At 52.0% G+C, this 20,745-nt stretch overlaps 1 protein-coding gene across 1 annotated transcript in view, besides 7 other annotated features; it reads left to right on the top strand.

Moving 5' to 3' along the window:
• Positions 1 to 20,745, top strand: part of RTN4RL1 (reticulon 4 receptor like 1) — a 90,658-nt gene that overhangs the window by 31,651 nt on the left and 38,262 nt on the right. The gene's annotated exons all lie outside the window — the stretch shown is intronic.
• Positions 275 to 1,135: an enhancer, noted in NCBI's record as "H3K4me1 hESC enhancer chr17:1895843-1896703 (GRCh37/hg19 assembly coordinates)". NCBI's record gives its function as "activates a minimal SCP1, AML or CMV promoter by ChIP-STARR-seq in naive H9 embryonic stem cells {active_cell/tissue: H9 hESC(naive)}" and the evidence as "EXISTENCE:reporter gene assay evidence [ECO:0000049][PMID:30033119]".
• Positions 1,136 to 1,997: an enhancer, noted in NCBI's record as "H3K4me1 hESC enhancer chr17:1894981-1895842 (GRCh37/hg19 assembly coordinates)". NCBI's record gives its function as "activates a minimal SCP1, AML or CMV promoter by ChIP-STARR-seq in naive H9 embryonic stem cells {active_cell/tissue: H9 hESC(naive)}" and the evidence as "EXISTENCE:reporter gene assay evidence [ECO:0000049][PMID:30033119]".
• Positions 6,240 to 6,741: an enhancer, noted in NCBI's record as "H3K4me1 hESC enhancer chr17:1890237-1890738 (GRCh37/hg19 assembly coordinates)". NCBI's record gives its function as "activates a minimal SCP1, AML or CMV promoter by ChIP-STARR-seq in naive H9 embryonic stem cells {active_cell/tissue: H9 hESC(naive)}" and the evidence as "EXISTENCE:reporter gene assay evidence [ECO:0000049][PMID:30033119]".
• Positions 6,742 to 7,245: an enhancer, noted in NCBI's record as "H3K4me1 hESC enhancer chr17:1889733-1890236 (GRCh37/hg19 assembly coordinates)". NCBI's record gives its function as "activates a minimal SCP1, AML or CMV promoter by ChIP-STARR-seq in naive H9 embryonic stem cells {active_cell/tissue: H9 hESC(naive)}" and the evidence as "EXISTENCE:reporter gene assay evidence [ECO:0000049][PMID:30033119]".
• Positions 9,766 to 10,607: an enhancer, noted in NCBI's record as "H3K4me1 hESC enhancer chr17:1886371-1887212 (GRCh37/hg19 assembly coordinates)". NCBI's record gives its function as "activates a minimal SCP1, AML or CMV promoter by ChIP-STARR-seq in naive and primed H9 embryonic stem cells {active_cell/tissue: H9 hESC(naive and primed)}" and the evidence as "EXISTENCE:reporter gene assay evidence [ECO:0000049][PMID:30033119]".
• Positions 10,608 to 11,449: an enhancer, noted in NCBI's record as "H3K4me1 hESC enhancer chr17:1885529-1886370 (GRCh37/hg19 assembly coordinates)". NCBI's record gives its function as "activates a minimal SCP1, AML or CMV promoter by ChIP-STARR-seq in naive H9 embryonic stem cells {active_cell/tissue: H9 hESC(naive)}" and the evidence as "EXISTENCE:reporter gene assay evidence [ECO:0000049][PMID:30033119]".
• Positions 17,118 to 17,733: an enhancer, noted in NCBI's record as "NANOG hESC enhancer chr17:1879245-1879860 (GRCh37/hg19 assembly coordinates)". NCBI's record gives its function as "activates a minimal SCP1, AML or CMV promoter by ChIP-STARR-seq in naive H9 embryonic stem cells {active_cell/tissue: H9 hESC(naive)}" and the evidence as "EXISTENCE:reporter gene assay evidence [ECO:0000049][PMID:30033119]".

Here is a 20,745-nt window from a genome sequence, read left to right as displayed (position 1 = left end):
CTTGGGTTCAAAGATGACCACTCTGATGGAAGGGTAGGGGAAGGGAACGGATGCTTTATTGAACCGTTACTATGTGCCAGACACTTTACATATATTATCTCAACTGCCGAAATAAGTTTAAGAATAAAGCAGGTCTGTAAAAACAAAACAAAACAAAAAACTCATAAATAATCCATTATTTTGCTTACTCCTCACAGTAATCCTGTTAGAACAAGTGCTTAGCCCATTTCACAGGTGATGAAACTAAGGCTCAAGGAAGTTAAATGACTTCCCCAGGACACATGCTTAGAAGTGTCAGGGCCAGGATTTGAACCCAGGTCTGACTGGCCCCAGAGTCAAGGCTAATTCTTCTAATTCTTTTTTGGGTGTGTCAGTTCTGACATTCCCCACCCAGTAATACACACCTGTAGTTTCTTTTCTTTTCTTTTCTTTTTTTGAGACAGAGTTTCGCTCTGTCACCCAGGCTGGAGTGCGGTGGCGCGATCTCAGCTCTCTGCAACCTCCGCCTCCCAGGTTCAAGCGATTCTCCTGCCTCAGCCTCCCGAATAGCTGGGATCACAGGTGCTCACCACCATGCCCGGCTAATTTTTTGTATTCTTTTTTAGTAGAGATGGGGTTTCACTATGTTGTCCAGGCTGGTCTCGAACTGCTGACCTCAGGCGATCCACCTGCCTCGGCCTCCCAAAGTGCTGGGAGGACAGGTGGGAGCCACCGCGCCCGGCCCTCACCTGTAGTTTCATTGTGTCACAGTGACATCATTCAGGCCGCATCCATTCAAAGAGAAAGCAGGTCATAAGAGAGTCATGTGTCAGGGTGAAATGCTGACTGTGTGCTGTGGCAGCCATCGTCAGCAGGCGTAGGACACACGTGGGCGACGATGGCAAGGCATGGAGTATGGTGTTTATTAGGTACTGGCAAAGGCCCGGGAGTTGAAGATGCCAAGCTGTGCTAAGTGGGAACTGCCTGTCTCAGCTCTCATCCAGCTCCAAGAGCTGAGCAGGCTCCCACTTCAGTGCCTTTGAATCAACTGGACTCTTGGACAGAACAGCACAGGGAGCTTTCCCAGCCACCCGCGAGACAGGCTCCCTCTGGATCACAACAGCGATAATAATAATACCCACAATAGGTCATGCTGATGGAGCAGTCACTGCGTGCCAGGCACTGTATCCTTAAGCTTCAATCCCTCTACATGCTCTTAGCCCCAACTGGGGGAGGGGGCGGCTCTTTGTCCCCAACTGAGTCCCCAGCCACACAAGTTGGTTCTCTCTGAACCCAGAGAAGGACTCTTTTTCTTTTTTCGTTTTTCTTTTTTTTTTTTTTTTTTTGAGACAGAGTCTCGCTCTGTCACCCAGGCTGGAGTGCAGTGGCGCGATCTTGGCTCACTGCAACCTCTGCCTCCCGGGTTCACGCCATTCTCCTGCCCCCCCAAGTAGCTGGGACTGCAGGCGCCCGCCACCACGCCCGGCTAATTTTTTGTATTTTTAGTAGAGATGGGGTTTCACCGTGTTAGCCAGGATGGTCTCGTTCTCCTGACCTCGTCATCCACCCGCCGCGGCCTCCCAAAGTGCTGGGATTACAGGCGTGAGCCACTGCGCCCGGCACGAGGACTCTTTTTCTGCATGCAGTCCAACCCTTGCTCCTACGTGGCCCATGTCATGAAGGATCTGGGGGACTGTGTGTACAAGGAAGGAGGGTGGGCGTGGGGCTCAGTACACGTCTCTCCTCTTCTGGAGACATAGCTCTCCCTGGACTTCTCAGTCAGAGTCAGTTACAGCTCCGTAAATAGAGCAATTCCACTTCCAGGAATTGATCTACTGCTACCCTTGTATCTGTGGGCAGAAATGCGCATGTGGGAGCATGCAAGTTCAGAAACTGGAAACAACCTACTTGTCCATCAGGAGGGGATCCACTGGGTAGATGACAACACCCCCGTGCGATGGGATTTTCCGCTGCGAGGAATGGGTGACTCTGTGTGCACTGAGATGGGGTGGATGCCAAGCTACCTTGCAAAGTGAAAAAGCAGTGGTAATACATGGCGCTACCATTTGGGTTCTAAAAAGACATGCTTGTATGTGATAGAAATTTTCTGGAAATACACAAAAGAAACTGTTAACAGTAGGATACCTCTGAAGAAAGAAACTGGGGCCTGGAGGTCTGGGAGAGGAAAGGAGACTTACTTTTTATTGTATACCCTTTTGTGTTCTTTGAAGTTTTTTTTTGTTTTTTTTTTTTTTTTTACTATGTGCATGTATTATCTTTTCGATTAAAAAGAAAGTTGGGGGAGGTTCAAAAAAAAACAAACTCACAGGCTTTATCTGGCTTCTCAGTCCACCTTTTCTTCCGTTTCCAGCCCGGTCCTACCACCCTGATTCTCAGGCCTTTTCTCAGCTCCTCTCCCTCCCTACAAGCCTATGCCTACCCTTCCCCGGGGCATCCATTACCGCCTCTTACAGGTACTTAAAACCTATCTTTTTGCCTTGAAATACAAATAACTCTAATCTGGAGAGAAGGCTGAGCTCCATTGCACTTATAGAACAGACAGAAATCAGCTGGCACTGAGATGCTCGATAAATGTTTGCTGAATCGAATGGAATCTGCGACTCGGTTGGTTACACTGAGCAAGGTACTAATTGGCCAAGGTCAGGCATCCAAATTGCACATGGGTTGGTGCTCTCTGCGCCTAGAGAGGGACTCGTTCCCTGGATGCTCTCATTTTCTCCATTGTGGCTATGCAGGGGGAGCACTACACATGCAGGAAAGGGTGGGTGCAGGGCTGTGTGCACACCGTCTCCTCTCTTGGAGACACAGCTCAGAGAGACTTTAAGAGGTAGAGCGAAACAACAGTGTGATAGACGGAAAACCCAGCTTTGTAAAAGATTCTGACTCAGAAGCGCATCTGTAGTGGACTCAAAAAGTTCCATGATAATCCCTTCCTTCCTTTCTTCTGTTAGCCTTGATTGTATTACAGTAAGTTTTGTTTTTTGAAACAGGGTCTTGCTCTATTGCCCAGGCTGGAGTGCAGTGGTGTCATCATGGCTCACTGCAGCCTCAACCTCCTGGGCTCAAGCGATCCTCCCACCTCAGCCTCCCGAGTAGCTGGGACCAAAAGTGCATGCCACACATCTGGCTAATATTTTTTATGTTTTGTAGAGATGAGGTCTTCCTCTGTTGCCCAGGCTGGTCTTGAACTCCTGAGCTCAAGCCATCCTCCTGCCTTGCCTTAGCCTCCCAAGGTTCTGGGACTACAGATGTGAGCCACCATGCCCGGCCTACAAGAACTTTTTATTTTTCATTATTTTATTTTATTTGTTTATTTTTGAGATGGAGTCTTGCTTTGTCACCCAGGCTGAGTGCAGTGGCTCGATCTCGGCTCACTGCAACCTCCACCTCCCAGATTCAAGCGATTCTCCTGCCTCAGCCTCTCAGCCTCGCAAGTAGCTGGGATTACAGGTGCCCACCACCATGCCCGGCTAATTTTTTATTTTTAGCAGAGATGGGGTTTCACCGTGTTGATCAGGCTGGTCTCAACCTCTTGGCCTCAGGTGATCCTCCAGCCTCAGCTTCCCAAATATTCTATGCATCCTTGATAATTAAAAAAAAGTTTTTTAATGTACACAACAAAATTTACCATTGTAATCATTTTAAGTGTACAGTTCTGTGGCATTAAGCACACTCACATTGTTGTACAAACTATCGTGACCTTTGTTTTTTGTTTTGTTTTTTTTTGTAGAGACAGGGTCTTGCTGTCTTGCCCGGGCTGGTCTCGAACTCCTAGGCTTAAGCATACTTTCTCCTTCTTGAAATGACACTCAGGCCAGGCACAGTGGCTCACACCTGTAATCCCAGAACTTTGGGAAGCTGAGGCTGGTGGATCATGAGGTCAGGAGTTCGAGACCAGCCTGTCCAAAATGGTGAAACCCCCTCTCTACTAAAAATACAAAAATTAACTAAGCATGGTGGCATGCACCTGTAATCCTGGCTACTCGGGAGGCTGAGGCAGAAGAATTGCTTGAAACCGGGAGGTGGAGGTGGCAGTGAACCGAGATCATGCCATTACACTCCAGCCTGGGCGACAGAGCAACACTTTGTCTCAAAAAATAAAAATAAATAAATAAAAAACATATGACACCCCCACTCCCCGGCTTTCTGTTCTCAGCCAGTGTGATGCTCCAGCACCCTTCTCAAGCCTGTGATCCAGCAGCTGGCCCTGGCTCCAGGGCCCCTCCAGCGTGCTCGCAGTAGAGCCTTCTCGTCCCATTAAGGGTTATGATGAGGAAGCATTTATTTGCCTGCAAGCACAGTGAGTCAGAAAGTTTGATGTGCCTTCCAAAAAAAAAAAAGCCTCTATAATTTTTGGCCACATTAATAGAAGTGTCCAAATCTAGGGCGGTGCAGGATCTGGCTTGCTGTGTGCTGAGCACCCACTGAGTCATCCTCTCCCTCGTCATCTTCCATCAGTTGAGTCCATCTCCTGCACATCCTTTACCTCCATCCCCTCCTCTCCGTTTCCCCCGCCGCCGCTAACCGTCTTAAACCAGGGTCCTACATCTCTTGCTTGGACTACTGCAGTAGCCTCCTGATTGGTGGTCTAGATTACTCTCTGGTCTCCAGCCTCCTTGCCGCAATTAGGGGATGTTAGGGAACACGATGTGATCATATCACTTTGATTGCTTACAATCCTTTAGTGGCTTCCCACGGCTCTTGAAATAGGGGCCCCTGTTTTTAACAGGGCTTTTTAACTGACCTCATGAGATCTGGCCCCTGCCTCTCCTCCAGCCTCATCTCACACCAGTGTCCGCTCATGCTGACTATTTTCTTTCTGTTCCTCACATGTACCTGGGCTGTGCTGCCTGTAATGTTGCCCCTGCCTCAGCCTGCTTACCTGGACAATTCCTACCCTTCTTCTAGAGCCCAGCTCAAAGGATGCTTCCTTGGGAAGTGGTCCTGAGCCTTCCAGACGAGGTCAGGTCCCCCAGTTATAAGTGCCTACAGCATCCAGCATCCATTTATTCATTTCTCCATTCCTTCAGGAAGCATTTAAGACATCAGGGGGTTCAGGCACACTCCTGGGTGCTAGGGATGCGGTGGAGAGAGACACCTCTGGAGAGGGGAGGGATGTTCCATCATTGAGGACTTAATTCTTTCTTTTTCTTTTCTTTTCTTTTTTTTTTTTTTTTGAGACAGAGTCTCTCTCTGTCCCCCAGGCTGGAGTACAGTAAATACAAAATACTGAACATATTCGTGGCTCCTTCTTTTCTTTTCTTTTTTTTTTTTTTTTTTGAGGCGGAGTCTTGCTCTGTCACCAGGCTGGAATGCAGTGACGCCATCTTGGCTCACTGCAGTCTCCACCTCCCAGGTTCAAGCAATTCTCCTGCCTCAGCCTCCTGAGTAGCTGGGACTATAGGCACACCCAGCTAATTTTTGTATTTTTAGTAGAGACGGGTTTTCACCATTGGCCAGGATGGTCTCGATCTCTTGACCTCGTGATCTGCCCACCTCAGCCTCCCAAAGTGCTGGGATTACAGGCGTGAGCCACCATGCCCGGCCTCCTTCTTTTCCTTTTTTTCCTTTTTTTCTGAGATGGAGTTTCGCTCTTGTTTCCTAGGCTGGAGTGCAATGGTGTGATCTCAGCTCACTGCAACCTCCACTTCCTGGGTTCAAGTGATTCTCCTGCCTCAGCCTCCCGAGTAGCTGGGATTACAGGTGTGTGCCACCACACCCGGCTAATTTTTGTATTTTTAATAGAGATGGTGTTTCACCATGTTGGCCATGATGGTCTTGAAATCCTGACCTCAGGTGATCCACCTGCCTTGGCCTCCCAAAGTGCTGGGATTACAGGCGTGAGCTACCGCACCCAGCATGAGGGCTTAATTATTTCTGGTCAGAGATATTGTGGGATAATGTGTGGAAAGTCCGTGTGTGTGTGTGTGTGTGTGTGTGTGTGTGTGTGTGTGTGTGTGTGTGTCCCTGAACTCACACACATCTGCAGTGCAGGCAAACAGGTGCTGTGATTTTGTTGGCTGTGAAATCACACTGCTTCAGAGCTAGAAGGACCCTTGGAAATGGCCAGACCTGGGGACCTGAAGGGTGAGACTCTGGTTACAAAAGACGGAAACAAAACCACTGGGACAGAGCGGGAATCTTACAGGCTCATGAAACAGACAGCCTCGTCCTCAGGTGCATCTTGAGCCCATGGTGTCTCCGGACGTGGTTTCTCCTTCTTGGCTTCTTGGCATGGCTTCACGGAGTTGGCGTCATTCTCAGAAGGATCCAGCAGCTCCAGGTTTCCATCTGTCCCTCCTCCCGGAAAAGGAGAACTTCTCTTCCCCCACAGGCTTGAACGAAAGTTGTGGGCCTGATAACATTGGCTCAAATTCAACCCTGAACCAGTCATGGAGGCCTGGGAGCAGGTGTTGATTGGGTACGAGCCCACTCCGGAAGGTGGGGGCTGAGCTGGCTCTATCATGGCGCATGGGTGGAGAGCTGGGGGAGGGGACCGGCTCTCCCAAAGGAAAAGCAGGGTTCTGTGGCTAAAAGGAGGGGAACATATCATGGGTGGCCCAAACTCCCTGTAATAAATGGCTGCCTACAGGTGGTTTGCTGAACCTTTTTTCTTTCTCCTTCGCACCTGCCTGCGTTACTCAGAACCCCACTTGGTCCCCTTGTCGCAGCGGCAGCCCCGAAGGCACCCACTTATCTTGTCCAGCCCCCTCATTTTGCAGATAAGGAAGCTGCGGCTTAGAGATGTCCTCAAGGTCGCACGGCTCAGTTGCAGCAGAGCCAAGCCTGGAACCCAGGCCTGGAAGCCTGTGAGCATTGTGTCATGTGGTGGGCAGAGCCTGGGCCTGGGTCGGGGGGCAGGGCCTGAGTCTGGGGTCAGCCTGCCGGACCTGACTCCTGGCTCTGTGACTCCTGGCTATGAATTTTTTTTTTTTAATGGCTATTACAACAAACTCGTTAGTTTAAAACCAGAGAAATTTATTCTCTCACAGTTCTGGAGGCCAGAAATCTGAAATCAAGGTGTTGGCAGGACTGTGCACCCCACGAAGGCTCTTCCAGCTTCTGGGGGCCGTGGGGGTTCTCTGTGGCTGCATCGCTCCAGTCTCTGCCTCCGACTTCACGTGGCTTCCCTCTGTCTCCTCCTCTTCTGTCTCTTATAAGGAAATTTGTCATTGCATTTATGGCCCTTTGGGGTAATCCAGGATGATCTTATCTCAAGATCTTTAACTTAATTACATCGACAAAGACGCCTTTTTCCAAATAAGGTCACAGGCTCCAGGGATATGGATGTGGACATATCCTTTTGGGGGGCCACCATTCAATTCACTCCAGGGACCTTGGGCAAGTCACTTAACCTCTGTGCACCTCAGTTTTGTCATCTGTAAAGTGAGGTTAATAATAATACCTACTTCATCGGGTGGTCATGAGGATTAATACACAATAATCCTCACCGAGTCCTTCACAGGGTGCCGAGCACTTGGTAAGCACTCAAGAGATGCTAATTGTTATTATGACTCTGTGGACCCCAGATCCCGCCTGGTTTTCCTGTGACCTTCTGGAGATGGCTCTCTTCCACCAACGGGCCTAGTCCTCTCTGCTAGTAGCAGTAGAGACAAGAGAGGTGGTTCGTGTCTTGGTGGAGACAGAGCTGTCAAGGTTATAGGCAAGTGTCTTCCTGCTTGTTGCTTAGCTGGGGCCATCCTACTGTCCCTGAAGGCTGGGGTTCCTGAGGCCTGCAGCTGAGAGGCGGGGCAGCTTGAGGAGGTCTCCTGCCAATCAACCTCTCACCCTGGCTCTGGAGGCCGGCCTGGGAACCCTGTGATTTACAGTGATGAAATGCAAATTGCAGAGATTCCACACTTCCCCTGTGGCTGAGATCCCATCAGCATCCTATCCCCCTTACCTGGGGCTCCTCCAGGGCTCATTTGGTGGATTCCATTGGCAGAGCACCTCCTCAGCCACCAGACGGCTGGCTTCCTACATCTGTCACACCTGTACTGTGACAATGTAATTTTTATCTCTGGTTGTTTATTTCTCAGATGGAACTACTTGTAAATTCCAAGAAGAAAATATATCCCTATGTGTGACAGAACCAGCCCAGGGCGATTAATCTGGGCTTTTAAAGCCGGGAATGTAAACCCGGTTTATGTTCCTCCGTGCATAAGTGTCCAGTAATCAACCATAGCTATTAATTGTCCCCCAGTGAAGCAGTGGACCCAGGAGGGGGTGGACTCAGTAGGATTTGATGCAGATGGATGGGAATGGGATCTTCGTTTCCCATCTGCCAGGCGGCTTGCGAGCCCTGGGGACAGAGAGTAGGAGGCAGGTGGCTTGATCCCAAGAGGTTCCAAAGGTAGAGGGAAGGCCCACATTTCCGGGCAGAGTTGACAGAGGAGGTGAGAAGAAGGAGGGGACCTAGGGCATTGGTGCAGGCACTCAGGGAGTGAACACCTTTGTGCCAGGAGCACAGGCTTGTGGAGTCCAGCAGGCCCAGGTTCAAATCCAATCCCCACCACTTGCCAAACACCTTCCTGGAAGTTCCTTCACCTGACAGGAGAGTTTCATGATCAGTTAAAAAGGAACAAAGTATATTTGCCTGAAAGGGTCATTGAGAGAATGAAATGAGCAGTGCGTGAAAAATGCTTGTCGCATATAACGGGGTGTTCAGCCTAAGTGAGTTCCATTTCTCCTATTTTTCTTTTTTCTTTTTTTTTTTGAGATGGAGTTTCGCTCTTGTTGCCCAGGCTGGAATGCAGTGGCAGGATCTCGGCTCACTGCAACCTCCGCCTTCTGGGTTCAAGCGATTCACCTGCCTCAGCCTCCTGAGTAGCTGGGATTACAGGTGTGTGCTACCACGCCCGGCTAATTTTTGTATTTTTAGTAGAGACGGGGTTTCACCATGTTGGCCAGGCTGGCTTCGAGCTCCTGACCTCAGATGATCCACTGGCCTCGGTCTCCCGAAGTGCTGGGATTACAGGCGTGAGCCACGGCGCCCGGCTCTCCTGTTTTTCTTGAAGGCCTCGGGGCAGGGCTCATTCCTGCAGAAGATGAAAGTCGCAGAAAGGATCAGAATTCTCAAGTTGGGAGGAAGTTTGAGAACATCTCATACAAAGCTCAGTAGAGTTTTGGGGAAGTGACTTAGAAGCTGGGATGGGGCCAGGCACCATGGGCTCCTGGCTGGAATCCCAGCACTTTGGGAGGCTAAGGAGGGAGGGTCGCTTGAGTCCAGGAGTTTGAGGCTTCAGTGAGCTATGACTGGGCCACTGCACTCCAGCCTGTTTGACAGAGCGAGACCCTGTCTGGAAAGAATGAAAAGAAGCAGCAGCGGCTGGGATAGAACTCAGCCTCCTCACTGTCACCTGTGTCACCTTCACGCCAAGCTGCTTCCAGAGCAGAGCAGCGGCCTTGACTCGGCTTCTCAGGCTCCTACAGGGCACCTGGTGGGCCTCAGGCATCCACAGGCCCCTAGAACAATAGGTGTAGGTGCATTTTAGGGGGGAGAATATCCATGGGCTTTATCGGCTTCTCGAAAGGAGCCCCCGTTCAAAATGATCAAGAATTTCTTTGGACTCTGTGATATTGTGACTAAATGGGGGAAGGGAAGGTGCTGCCCGCCCTGCCCACCTGCATTTGGTGTATACAGCTGGCCTTGAGACATGATCTGGGGGTTTCCTCGGCCTCAGGGCTCCGGCCAGCCCTTATTCCAGCCTGGTTCTACCAGGGGAAACCAGCTTACATGTCCCAGCCGGGAGGGAGCAGGGTTCCGATCCGGATTGGGTGGAGCCTAAAGGTTTTGTGGACCCCGTTATGAAAACGAGTCATGAGTACGGAGTTAGGTTCAGGACCCGGCGCCGTGGCTCACACCTGTAATCCCAGCACTTTGGGAGGCTGAGGTGGGAGGATTGCTTGAGCCCAGGAGTTCGAGACCATCCTGGACACACTGGGTAAGACCCCGTCTCTACAAAAAAAATAGAAAATGTTAGCCAGGCATGGTGGTGCCTGCCTATGGTCTTAGCTGCTTGGGTAACTGAGGTGGGAGGATCGCTTGAGCTCAGGAGTTTGAGACCATCCTGGACACACCTGGTAAGACCCCGTCTCTACAGAAAAAATAGAAGCTGTTAGCCAGGCGTGGTGCTGTGTGACTATGGTCTCAGCTGCTCGGGTGGCTGAGGTGGGAGGATCGCTTGAGCCTAGGAGGCGAAGGCTGCAGTGAACCTCGTTCCCGAATTAGGTGCAGCGTCTTGGGAAGGGCTTGCGGATGTTTTGTTAGTATCACTGTCAATTGGCCCCCGCTGGTGTCATTACTGGACAAGTATCCTCAGAAGAATGTGAGGTCTCGGCCAGGTGTGGCGGCTCACGCCTGTCATCCCAGCCCTTTGGGAGGCTGAGGCAGGTGGATCACTTGAGGCCAGGGGTTCAAGATCAGACTGTACAACATGGTGAAACCCTGTCTCTACTAAAAACACAAAAATTAGCCGGGTGTGGTGGCGGGTGCCTGTAATCCCAGCTGTAATCCCAGCTACTGTAATCGCTTGAACCTGGGAGGTGGAGGTTGCAGTGAGCCGAGATGGCGCCATTGCACTCCAGCCTGGGTGACAGGGCGAGACTCTGTCTCAGGAAAAAAAAAAAAAAGAAGAAGAAGAAGAATGTGAGGTCTCAGCATAGCTCCACCACCAAATGGCCCCCCAGAGGCACTTGCCCAGTTTGCGGGTTGCTGCCCTGCGGGGTGCCTGAGAGAGAACTGGGGAAAACCCAGCCCTTCAAGGAGCTCACAGCAAAGGGAGCCCAGCCTGTGGCACACAGTGACTGTCAGCCGCTGCCCCTCCCTGAGGTTCGCTTTACCTCCTGCTCAGCCACCCCATTCCTCCTTCCTCTGGGTCAGCAAGTTGTCGAACTTTCCTCACTCCATTTTCAGGGTTACCCAGCAACCTGGAGCTGTCGGGGAGCCTGGCGGTCCACCTCCATGCAGGAGGGGAGGGCTTCCTGCACGGCGTCGAGGGCCCGGTGTTTGTGGAACTGCCCCTTCCCAGAGTTTCTTTTCTTTTCTTTTCTTTTCTTTTCTTTTCTTTTGAGACGGAGTCTCGCTCTGACCCCCAGGCTGGAGTGCAGTGGCGCGATCTCGGCTCACTGCAACCTCCGCTCCCTGGTTCATGCCATTCTCCTGCCTTGGCCCCCCGAGTAGCTGGGACTACAGGCGCCCGCCACCATGCCTGGCTAATTTTTTTTTGTATTTATAGTAGAGATGAGGTTTCACCGTGTTAGCCAGGATGGTCTCGAACTCCTGACCTCGTGGTCCGCCCGCCTCGGTCTCCCAAAGTGCTGGGATTACAGGCGCGAGGCACCTCGCCCGGCTTCCTCTTCTCTTCTCTTCTCTTTTCTTTTTGAGACAAAGTCCTATTCTGTTCACCAGGCTGGAGTGGAGTGGCGTGATCTCAGCTCACTGCAACCTCCGCCTCCTGGGTTTAAGCGATTCTCCTGCCTCATCCTCCTGAATAGCTGGGATTACAGGCACTCTCCACCACGCCCAGCTAATTTTTGTAGTTTTTAGCAGAGATGGGTTTTCACCATGCTGGCCATGCTGGTCTGGAACTCCTGACCTCAGGTGATCCACCCGCCTCGGCCTCCCAAAGTGCTGGGATTACAGGCGTGAGCCACCGTGCCGGCCAGTTTCAATACATAAATACTCACTCTTGTGTTACAGTTGCCTGCCGTGTTCAGCACAGGCACGTGCTGTGCAGGTTTGTAGCCTAGGAGCAGTGGGCTATCCCATATAGCCTAGGTGTGCGGTAGGCTCTAGCATCTAGATTTCTGTAAGTATACTCTATGATGTTTGCACAGTGAAATGGTCTGATGATACATTTCTCAGAACACACCCTGTCATTAAGTGATGCATGACTGTGCTTGTTGGGTACAAGCTGTGTCCCAGACACTGCACTGTGGGTTCTAGAGCTTCCTGGGAGAACAGCAGTCCAGGCTGAGGCACACAGCTCCCAGGGCAGTGTGTACCAGCACGTCAGCCACAGCTCAGGCTGGAGCAGGCTCAGCTGGAAGGAGGCAGTGACTCGTGTGAGGCTGCTCAGGGTGGACCAGGTCAGCCTATCTGCACACGAGGCAGCCACAGGGCATGAGGGAGGGAAGACCTCAGCACAGCCAATCTGCACACGAGGCAGCCGCAGGGCAAAAGGGAGGGAAGGCCCAGCAGTCCCCTTTCCCTAAAGTCTCTGGAAAGCAGAGTTATGCAAAGAAAAAAATACCAAGATGGAGTCAGCTTCATTTCTAGGTTTTTGTTGTTGTTGTTTTTGGAGACAAGGTATCACTCTGTCACCCAGGTTGGAGTTGCAGTAGCACGATCACGGCTCACTGCAGCCTTGACCCCCAGAGCTCAAGTGATCCTCCCTCCTCAGCCTCCCAGGTAGCTGAGACTACAGGTGTGCACTACTATACCCAGATAATTTTAAATTTTTTTGTAGGGACGGAGTCTCCTTATGTTGTCCAGGCTGGTCTTGAACTGGGCTCAAGTGATCCTCCCTCCTCAGCCTCCCAAAGTGCTGCCAATGTCCTAGGCACGAGGCTCCCAGGAAACTGCTGGCCTCTTGCACTGTGACTCCCTGTGGGTCACAAGGGGCTCCTGTGGAGCACTTTACCCCATCAGTGCCTCCTGCCTGATGAGTGTGGCTCCAGGAAGCAGCCAGGGACAGGGGCCAGTTTTGGCCCCCTGGGAAACTCTGCTCCACTTCTTTTTTTTTTTTTTTTTTTTGAGATAGAATCTCACTCTGTGGCCCAGACTGAAGTGCAGTGGTGTGATCTCCGCACACCGCACTGCCACCTCCTGGGTTCAAGTGATTCTCCTGCCTCAGCCTCCTGAGTAGCTGGGATTACAGGCTACACCACCACACTCGGCTGTTTTTGTGTATTTTTAGTAGAGACGGGGTTTCTCCATGTTGGCCAGGCTGGTCTTGAACTCCTGACCTCAGGTGATCCGCCCGCCTCAGCCTCCCAAATGCTCCACTTTGATAAGGATTTAAATAGGTTGCTGAGCGGGCCCATGAATTAATCTCTTGTGTTTGTTTATTTATTTTTACTATAAAAGTAATATATGTCATCTGTGGAAAGTATGAAAAGTACAGAACGCTATAAAGAAGTGGGAGGGAGGCAAATACCCAGGGCAGAGCCAAGCACCACTGTTAGCATGTGAACATGTTTGCTCTCCACCGAATAGCCGAAGCTTTTAAAAAGCCCCATGGAAACATTAGTGTCAAAAGCTGCCTGGGATCCTATGGAATTGGAATTTGTCTTTTTAAGAAAACATATCAGGCCAGGCATGGGGGCTGATGCCTGTAATCTTAGCGGTTTGGGAGGCCGAGGCAGGCAGATCACTTGAGCCCAGGAGTTCCAAACCAGGCTGGGCAACATAGTGAGGTCCTGTCTCTACTAAAAAAAAAAAAAAAAAAAATTAGCTGAGCGTGGTGGCACGAGCTTGTAGTCCCAGCTACTTGGGAGGCTGAGGTGGGAGGATCACCTGAGCCTGGGAGGTCAAGGCTTTGGTGAGCCGTGATTGTGGCACTGCACTCCAGGCTGGGCGACGGAGTGAGGCCCTGTCTCAAACAAAAAAGAAAAGAAAAGAAAAAATATATCTGAGCCAAGTGGATTAGGAGTGCTGGGATTTTAAGACACCCCCAGGCCAGGGTGTGTGGGAAAGGGCCTGGGCCTTCAGCTCCTGGGGCTCAGCATGGCTTCTCAGGAGAATCCCAAAAGGCTGGATGGGGTTTGCCTGAAGAACAGAGATTTCCTTCTCCACGCAATTCCGGGTCTGAGCACTTTCACGCTTGGCCTGCCTAGCGGTAAGCGGCAGTCAAGGGGGGAGGAGGAGGGAAGGGGTGGGGAGGTGCTCTCCAAAGAGAAGGGCCACCCTACTGGGCAAAGGGCTGGACTTGGCTGGCCTGTTTTTTCCCCTTTTCTGTCCTGGTCTGTCTCTGGCCCTGCTGAATAGCAGGTGCGCAGTGATTGCTTCAGGAAGGCAGAGATCTTAGTATAGGCTGGTGAAGACTCCCATGGGGAATGCTACTTAGAGGGACAGAGGAAAGCTAGGGCCAAGACAGGGTGAGTCAGTTGGGCAGTTAGGCAAAGCCTTGAGTGGTACTCCCAACCCACACCCCCCCACTCAGCATTTCTTTTCTTTCCTTCTTTGTCTTTTTTTTTCTTTTTTTTAGACAGGGTCTTGCTGTGTCACCCAGGCTGGAGTGCAGTGGCGCACGCATAGCTCATTGCAGCCTTGACCTCCTGAACTCAAACAATCCTCCCACCTCAGCCTCCTGAGTAGCTGGGACCACAGGCGTGTGCCACCATGCCTGGGTAATTTTTTGTATTTTTTTGTAGAGATGGGGTTTTTTGTTTTTTATTTTGGTTTTTTTGAAGCAAAGTCTGGCTCTGTCGCCCAGGCTGGAGTGCAGTGGCGCTATCTTGGCTCACTGCAACCTTTGCTTTCCAGGTTCAAGCAATTCTCCTGCCTCAGCCTCCTGAATAACTGGGATTACAGGTGCGTGCCACCACGCTCAGCTAATTTTTGCATTTTTAGTAGAGATGGTGTTTCACCGTGTTGGCCAGGCTGGTCTTGAACTCCTGACCCCAAGTGATGCACTCGCCTAGGCGTCCCAAAGTGCTGGGATTACAGGCGTTGGCCTCAGTGTTTCTTTAGGATTGATGGAAATGGTGCTAAGAGGCAGCAGATGAGGGGGCCACACCTTCTGCTATCTGGGCATAGCCACCACGTGGGGAAGCCAGGTGGCCCTCCACCCTTCTCTGGGCCCTACCTCTGAGAGGTTCCCTGCACAGGTTACTGGAAGTGGGGTGTGGTGGGGAGCTTGGAGCACTGTGTTGGGATTCTCTGCAGCAACTCTGGGACTTGTGCCTAATGGCAACAGCTTCCAGTTCCCAAAGGAACCATTTCTTTCTCTGAGCTGAATGGAGGGCTATTTGCTAAGCACCACGCTCCATGCTCCGTGCGCACTACCTCACTGAATCCGCACAGCAGCCCACCCTCCACCCCCCCCATTTTCCGGATGAGCAAACTGAGAGGTTGCAAGACTGGCTAAAGGTCACACAGTCACCGGCTGGGATCCAAACGCAGCCTAATTCCAAGCAAGAGCTGTTGGCCACTATTCTTGGCTGCTGTTGCTGGGAGGCCGGCTGCAGAGCCCACCTGGGCGCTTCCGCCTGGATGGCTGTTGCGGACGGTCGGCCAAGCCTCTCCTCTAAAGGCTTCTGCTCCACGAGCCCGTCCTCTGGGGACAGGAGAAGGTGTATGTGTGGCCCAAAGCAGAGCCCAGGTCCTGGAGAGGGAGGTGCCTCCCGTCCCCATTCTTGGGTTCCCCTGAAGTGCTGGGTTTGGATCCCAGTGGGGTGGGGACCCTGGAGGCCGCTTGCACGGGTCGGGGCTCTTGGCCACTGATTTCAAGGCCGGTGATGCGACGCCTGGAGACAGCAGAGGCGGCAGGAGCACCCTGGGGTTAAATGCAGCCCAGCAGGGCCTGGCAGCCGCCCCAACCTTGACCCCCACAGGCAATGGCGGTTCCTCCCTCCCCGAGAGTGCAGGAGGCGGGGCCGCGGGAGGGTTGCGGTGCGTGCAGCTGCGGGGTGCCGGATGCGGAGTGAGAGATGCGGGGTGCAGGATGCGGGGTGCGGGATCCGGGGTGCAAGATGCGGGATGAGGGGTGCGGGGTGCAGGATGCAGGATCCAGGGTGCAGGGTGCGGGGTGCGGGACGCGGGGCTCCGATGCAGGTGCGGGATGCGGGGTGCAGGATGCAGGATGCGCCCCCGACCCCGGCTCCCACCCGGGCGGCCCGCGGCCGCTGGTTGGCTCCCGGGAGCGCCGCTCGCCCTATCACACACCTGCGCGGTTGCCAGGCAACTGGGACAGAGTTGTAACACCTCGGTGAGGGCCGGGATGGGGTTTTTAATCTGCTGGCTGCTCCGGGTCTCTCCTCAGAAGTTGGAGACGGATGACATTGGTTTCCCTCTGCAAAGGGACCTCCTCCCGCCCCCACTTACCGCTCCCCTCCCCCAGCCCCAGGCCCCGCGGTCTCTGGCCAGGCCGCCCCAGGTCTCCCAGCCGCGGGTGGTTCCTGGGTCCCAGACACCCCAGGCCGGCGGGCGGGGTGGGGGGCGGCACTGGGCGGCTCTCGACCCCGCTCTTGTTTGGGGAAAGTCATCCTCAGGGGGATGGGGACCTCCGCCTGAGACGAGGTGGTGGATCCAGGGAGAACCCCGAAGGTGGGGAAGGGCAGGCTCCAAGGTCGTCAGGGTCACCACCGCCGTTGCTGGCCTTGGACTGACCTTGGGGTGGAACGACCTTGGGGTGGCCGTGGGGTGGGTGCGGGGCGCTCTCGGGCCTGACTCTGCCTTTCTATTGCCTGGGTGTTCCCCAGACTCTAGTCTCTGCCTCGCACCTTCCCAGCGTCTCGCCCGTCTGTGCACACCTGCACTATTTTTGCACTTCTGTTTTCTTCCGTAGATTGACCCATTTTCACTTAGATAAATGTATTTTAAAAGGAAACTGGATACGGCATCTTTAAGTGGAGAGGCAGAGTATCTATCACCTGCCATAAACAGAAACTAACTGTAAAAATAAATACAAAGAAACAAAATGTGATTAAATGGTAGCACAGGGAGTCTGATCTGAGAGGCCACAATGGTAACAAAATAAGCACTTACTCCGAGCCAGGCACTAGCTAAGCACTGTACCTGGACTGGCTCATTTGATCTCATGTTATCAATGTTCCCATTTCACAGATACAGACGCTGAGGTTCAGAGAAGCTAAGGGCTTTGGCCAAGAGCAAATAGCCACTAAATGACAAGTTGAGTCCCAGCCGAGTTCCACCCAAAGACCGGGCTTTAGTTTTAACCATGGCCTGTGCTGTCTCTGGACAGTGTCACCCCTGGCTCCCTGCCCCGTGAGCTGGGTGGTGGTCTCTTTCCAGGAGTGGGGCAATGGTTTGAGCCCCAACTGCAGTGGTTTTTGCCTAGATTCAGGGACTGTAACTAGGTACTCAGATAAACTGCACGGCCTCCCAACAGCCCTGGGAAGTACCCCACTGTAGCTCAGAAACTGAGGCTCAAGGAGGCCAATCCACCTGCCCAAAGTCACACTGCTGCTGAGTGGCAGGGCCAGGATGTGGGTCCCGTTTCCTTCTGCAGCACCAACACTACTTAAACCTCTTTGTAACTCCCTCAACCTCATGCAGAGAGAAGATCCTTTCATTCTTAGCAAACCTTACAGTGAAACTGAGACTTCTCACAGGGAATCAAATCTCCATCTGGGGAAAGTGTTCATTATTTGAACCCAGACCAGGCCATGGGCCGACACCTCTTCAGAGAGGAGCCTGGTCTCTGGAACCTTGACCTTCTAGGGTTGAGTGAAGACCCCTGGGGCCAGCCCCCTGCCCCTGGGCCTTCTCGTGGCTCAGCAAGACTCCTGTAGCCCTGGGCTATTGTTTGGCTTTGGGATTTGCCCTCCTGGGAACATAGTCCATCATTGCCTATCAACATGAGTGACTGCCTTTCTCACTCCAGAGCTGGCTCATTCTTACCTGAAAGAGAAAGAACAAGGGTGCATTTGGAGAGGGAGGAAAATCATATGTTATTTTTAAAAGGCATTTTGAGTGAGTGCTGAATAGAGTTCAAGAAAATTGCCTTAAAGACCTGCTCTCTGCAGGGATGGCGTTTCTCACGGCTCCCAAGTATTTGTACGGGCTACTGTTTTTATTTATTTCTGGTCTCAGGGGTGGGCTTTGAAGATTGTGCTCTCTCTGTAGTGGTTTTCTTTATCTCAAATAAATTTCGCACACCCGTGAGGTAGATCGTCTTGAAAGAAACTGTGTCAGAATTGGCTCTCGATTCAGTAAATCTGCAAATGGTGCAGGGTTCAGTGAGATGATGTGGCCTTAGCTTGCTTTGAGCCTCCTGTCACACGGTGCAGCTTAATCTCCCTTCCACCAAAGCTTTCTATTTTTCTTTTCCTTTCTTTTTCTTTTTTGAGTCAAAGTCTCACTCTGTTGCCCAGGCTGGAGTGCAGTGGCGCAATCTCAGCTCACTGCAACCTCCACCTCCCGGGTTCAAGCGATTCTCCTGCCTCAGCCTCCCGAGTAGCTGGGATTACAGGTCCGCGCCACCACACCTGGCTAATTTTTGTATTTTTAGTAGAGACAGACTTTCACCATGTTGGCCAGGCTGGTCTCCAACTCCTGACCTCAAGTGATCCACCCACCTCGGTCTCTCAAAATGCTGGGATTACAGGCATGAGCCACCACGTCTGGTCCCCCCAAAGTTTTCTGCTGATGCTCTGAACTGCAGAGTCTCAGCTCACATCTTCATTGAAACCCTTTTACTACCCCAAGGAAGAAGCCAGTCAGGGTGGAGGAGACTCATTTCTGGGTGGGTGTTTGGGACATTTTAGGTAAAGATGCTAATAAGAGGCTTTAGGTTAATCGTAGAACAGCTCCTCTCTGCTGGGGATTTCCTCGGCTCCCTGTACCATGTCTTCTCTCAAAACTAGAAAGTACATTTTGGGATCAGAGCCGTGTGCTGAGAGCAAGGTAGGAGTTAGATCACCATGGGTGGGGGTGCCGCAGGTGCCAACACTCAGGGCAGTGGGGGCCCCTGGGCCTCTGGATTCTACCCCATGGAAAGATGGTAGTGGAAGGGCTAAATGCTTGGCCTTTAGCAGCGAGTGAGGCTGAGTTTCAGTGCAGGCTTGTTCCTTCCCAGCTAGTAAAGGTGCTGGGACATCCCATTTGCCCTTCCATCAGGCACCATGCCTGGGAAGCTGGCCTATGCTGATGACACCAGTGGGCTCCTGCCCTCGGCCTTCAGGTTCAGCCGATGGGAGACAGTGGCAGGTGAGCAGAGTGAGAGAGGGGAGTGAGGAGGAGAGTGACCGCTGGGTATTTATTCCCTCCCCCCTCCCCACCCCCACAGGCTGGCACTGCCCCTGACCAAAGTTCTCGCTCTGGTCAGAGCCCGTCTCCACCTGGCTTCCCTGTTTGGGTTCCCATTTCCAGTCCCTTTCTTTACCCTTTCAGACCCTGGGTAGTAACACCAGTGGGTTCTTGCCTGTTATTTACTATCCCTGTGGATGCCCTAGGCCCCACCCACACCTTTGTCAATCATCCCTTTATTAAACTCTCCTCAAATTACATAATGACACTCAGCTGACACAGTGGTCCTGGACAAGTCATTTACCTCTCTAAGCTTTGGTTCTCTCTCATCTGTAAAATGGAGGGTTTGTTCTGTTTTTGAGATAGAGTCTTGCTCTGTCGCCCAGGCTGGAGTGCAATGACACAATCTCAGCTCACTGCAACCTCCACCTCCTGGGCTCAAGCCATCCTCTCATCTCTGCAGCTGGGTCTACAGTAGTTCTGTGTCCCCACCCAGATCTCATCTGGGACTGCAGACAAGTAGCTGGGACTACAGACACAGGCCACTGTGTCTGGCTAATTTGTTGTATTTTTTTGTAAAGATGGAGTTTCGCCCTGTTGCCCAGGCTGGAAAGTTTTATTATTAAACAGTTTCCATGTGTGGTGGTAGTGAGAACTAAATGTAACCTTTCCCCCCTCCTAAGGATAGCTTTTTTTTTTTTTTTTTTTTCTGAGACGGAGTCTCGCTCTGTCGCCCAGACTGGAGTGCAGTGGCGCAATCTCGGCTCACTGCAATCTCCGCTTCATGGGTTCAAGCTATTCTCCTGCCTCAGCCTCCCCGGTAGCTGGGATTACAGGTGTACACTACCACACCCGGCTAATTTTTGTACTTTTAGTAGAGACGGGGTTTCACTATGTTGGCCAGGCTGGTTTCAAACTCCTGACCTCAGGTGATCCGCCTGTCTCGGCCTCCCAAAGTGCTGGGATTACAGGTATGAGCCACCACACCCGGCCAGCTCTTTTTAACTAAATGTATCATTATATGCAAAGTGTAACCTTGTCCCTCAAGCTAACATGCGGGGCTGGGGCCAGGCCTCAGAGACAGAAATGATGGGGACAGGACTGGTCAGTCACGTCTGTCCTTGGACCAATGGGAGTCTCTGCTTTCTGTTCATGACCTAGTTTGGGTGGAGGACACCAGGGGAGCAGAATCCTGAGGAACTCAAGAAGCTGGGATTGCTTTTTTTTTTTTTGACATGGAGTCTTGTTCTGTTGCCCACGCTGGAGTGCAATGGCGCGATCCCGGCTCACTGTAACCTCAAGTGATTTGCCCGCCTCAGCTTCCCAAAGTGCTGGGATTACAGGTGTGAACCACCCCACCCAGACTTTTTTTTTTTTTTTTTTTAAGACAGTGTCTCACACTATTGCCCAGGCTGGAGTGCAGTGGTGCAATCTCAGCTCACTGCAACCTTCACCTCCCAGGTTTCCAGTGATTCTCCCACCTCAGCCTCCCAAGAAGCTGGGATTATAAGCGTTTGCCACTACGCCCGGCTAATTTTTTTGTATTTTTAGTAGAGACGGGGTTTTGCCATGTTGGCCAGGCCGGTCTTGAACTCCTGATCTCGAGTGATGTGCCTGCCTCAGCGTCCCAAAGTGCTGGGATTACAGGCATGAGCCGCCGTGCCCAGCCTAGTCTTTATTTGTTGTTATTGGGAAACAAAAGCAGCCACAGATTTCGTGCAACATGGTATCCACTGAGAATGCAAAAGAAAGAAACAGATGACACCTGATATCCCCGCTGGAGCAGCAGGTGGGGGTCGGACTCTGCATTT

This window comes from Homo sapiens, chromosome 17 (assembly GCF_000001405.40).
Source record: "Homo sapiens chromosome 17, GRCh38.p14 Primary Assembly".
Lineage (NCBI taxonomy): Eukaryota > Metazoa > Chordata > Mammalia > Primates > Hominidae > Homo > Homo sapiens.
Note: the sequence above shows the minus strand (reverse complement) of the source record. Positions and strands in the feature narration are given on the sequence as shown.